This window comes from Homo sapiens, chromosome 22 (assembly GCF_000001405.40).
Source record: "Homo sapiens chromosome 22, GRCh38.p14 Primary Assembly".
Lineage (NCBI taxonomy): Eukaryota > Metazoa > Chordata > Mammalia > Primates > Hominidae > Homo > Homo sapiens.
The window spans coordinates 47,246,948-47,249,707 of record NC_000022.11 but is presented as its reverse complement, the minus strand read 5'-3'; the positions used below and the strand labels follow the sequence as shown (position 1 = coordinate 47,249,707).

At 51.1% G+C, this 2,760-nt stretch overlaps 1 annotated feature.

Moving 5' to 3' along the window:
- Nucleotides 1,364–1,863: an enhancer, noted in NCBI's record as "H3K4me1 hESC enhancer chr22:47643595-47644094 (GRCh37/hg19 assembly coordinates)". NCBI's record gives its function as "activates a minimal SCP1, AML or CMV promoter by ChIP-STARR-seq in primed H9 embryonic stem cells {active_cell/tissue: H9 hESC(primed)}" and the evidence as "EXISTENCE:reporter gene assay evidence [ECO:0000049][PMID:30033119]".

Sequence of the window (2,760 nt, the reverse complement as noted above, 5' to 3'; positions counted from 1 at the left end):
TTCCCCAGACACGTCTTTGGTATAGCAGACATTCTGACTCCGTGCTATGTGCTGGGCCAAGGAAAACAACTAGCTATGGAATCTGCCCCTGGGGAGTCTCCACCCTGGGGGACAGACACACAAAGGGATGTGAGCATGCCGAGGGCCATGTGGGGCACGTGGCTAAATCCAGCGGGATCCTTAAGGAAGGACTGAGTGGGAGAGTCAATGGGGAGGGGAGAGGAGAGGGCAGAGGTGAAGGGGAAAGGGAAATGGGAGAGAAGTAGGGAGAGGGGAGAGGGAGGGGAGGAAAGGGAAGAGAAGGGAAGGGGTAATGATAAGGAAGAAGAGGGAATAGGAGGGAAGAAAAGGAGAGAAAGAGAGGGAGAGAAATAGGAGGAGAAGAGGGGAAATAAAGGCAGGGAAGTGAGAGGAGAGGAGGGGAGGGAAGAGTTGAGCTGAGACCCAGGCATGGGGCCTCAGCCCGTTGCAGAACATGTTCTGTGGCCATTGACTTTCTCTGTACTAGGAAGGTCTAGAGGGCAGAGACAGACTCTCATTCTTTCACTCCTGATGTTTCTTCAACACCTAGCAGGCACCAGGCTCTGTCCTGAGTGCTGAAGATACACTAAGAGCAAAGCAGACAGACCGACACCCATGGCTGGAGCTCACATCTTTACTCATCTTGGAGCCTCATGCCTCTACCTGGCACACGGAGATGCCCAAAAAAAATGTTGGAGAAAGAAGTAGACTCAGTGTGCAAAGCATGCTCATGAACTGGTGGACACTCCCTGCACCGCACCATTGATGGCTGTTTTCATCCACTTCCGTATTCCTATAAAGAACTGCCTGAGACTGGGTAACTCATAAAGGAAAGAGGTTTAATCGACTCACAGTTCAGTATGGCTGGGGAGGCCTCAGGAAACTTACACTCGTGGCTGTAGGCAAAAGGGAAGCAAGGCACCTTCTTCACAAGGCAGCAGGAAGGAGAAGTGCTAAGTGAAGGGGGAGGAGTCTCTTATAAAACCATCAGGTCTCTGAGAACTCACTCACTATCATGAGAACAGCATGGGGGAAGACACCCTCATGATTCAATTACCTCCACCTCATCTCTCCCTTGACATGTGGGGATTATGGGGATTACAATTCAAGATGAGATTTGGATGGGGACAAAAAGCCTAACCATATCAATGGCTCAGCTCAAGATGCAGGTAGTGATGATAAATGCTCAAGAAACCATTTCTTTGTCAAAATGCAGAGCTCATGGGAAGCTCACGACATGTGGCTGGAACTGCAAACACCCGATGTTCCAAATAGCCGTCAAAAGGCTGGATTTCCCATTTTCTCCCTCACCTCAAACATTATCCATTCTCTCGTGAAAGCCACAGCTACAGAGAAGCCACACAAGAGCAGAGCCTGCTGCTCACTTCACAGCCTGCTGTGATTGTGGAATCAGTGAGTGAATGAACAATGAACAAATGTATCGCACAGTCCAACCACCTTAGGTTACAGACGAGGAAATGGAGACTCTAAAGGAGGAAGTCTCATCTGAAGTTGCTGAATTGTTCAAAAGGGTCGGATTCAAGGAAGTCTTCCAGCAAGAGGTGGGCAGGGCATCAGGTCCAAGGCTGGGTCCTCTCCCACTGTGGGGTTCGAAAGCCAAAAGGAGGCCATTTGGACGGACAGAGCATGAGCAGCAGGGCCCAGGTGCAGCTGCAACAAGGGAATTCCAAAAAAGCACAGGTTCTCCGGGACACCCTCCAGATATTTGGTCTGTGGCGATGCATCCCATCCTGGGGTTCCCTCCTGTTGAACCTGCTCACCCGGACCTGCTCACCTGTGTCTGCTCACCTGGACCTGCTCTCCTGGACCTGCTCATCCAGACCTGCTCACCCAGACCTGCTCACCCAGATCTGCTCACCTGGACCTGCCCTGGTGGGACCTGCTCAGGACAGCTGACCTTGTATCAAGCCCTTTGTGGGTGGCCCCCTGCTGCAGTGGACCTAGGGCACCCTCCGCAGGCCGGGGTGTGCAGTGAGTACCCAGGCTCTGTCCACCGTGAGTCCCCTGGTGCAGATCCACAGACCTTCCCACTCCCAAAGCCGGCGACAGGAGCTGGCTGTTTTTGTGAACACAGCTCTTCCTTCCCCCAACAATCCTTTTTTTTAAGTTTAAACGACCATAATTTTCCTTTTATGCCCTTGCATTTGTTTTCCAAGAAGATGATTACCCATTCATGGAGTATTAATGATCTATTAATGTGGAAAGACTGGGGAGAGAATGGGCTTGTGAAAGAACACATATTTTTATTCAAATAAATTACATGGATTTTTTTATTAAACTGCTCCACTTATAATGGACACTTAGTCACAGCCCTTTCTGGGCATCTGCTGCCAATTCCCCTCCTTCATTACTGCCACACCGAACAAAAGGTCTATTCAGAGCACAGGCCATTTGGAAGTCCAGGATGGCCCCGAATCTCGGCACACCCGCTGCTTGGTCATTCGGTACAGCTCATCCCTCTAACGCAATTCTGCAGAAATAAATCAGACTCGGAGCTGGTGCGGAGGAGGAGAAAGTGCTCCCTGCCCTGAGCCCTGCTTTTCCAAGTTCTTCTCCCCCAGGGCCAGGTTCACACCTCCTATCAGCTGTGTCTGAGCGGCCTTCCCATTTCACCACTGACAGGCACTGCAGGTTGACCAGCCAGCCCAAAGCTCCCCTCCTAAGCAGGCACTCAGCCTCACATCTACTCTTACTGTTCAGGTAAAACTCTTTCTCCTG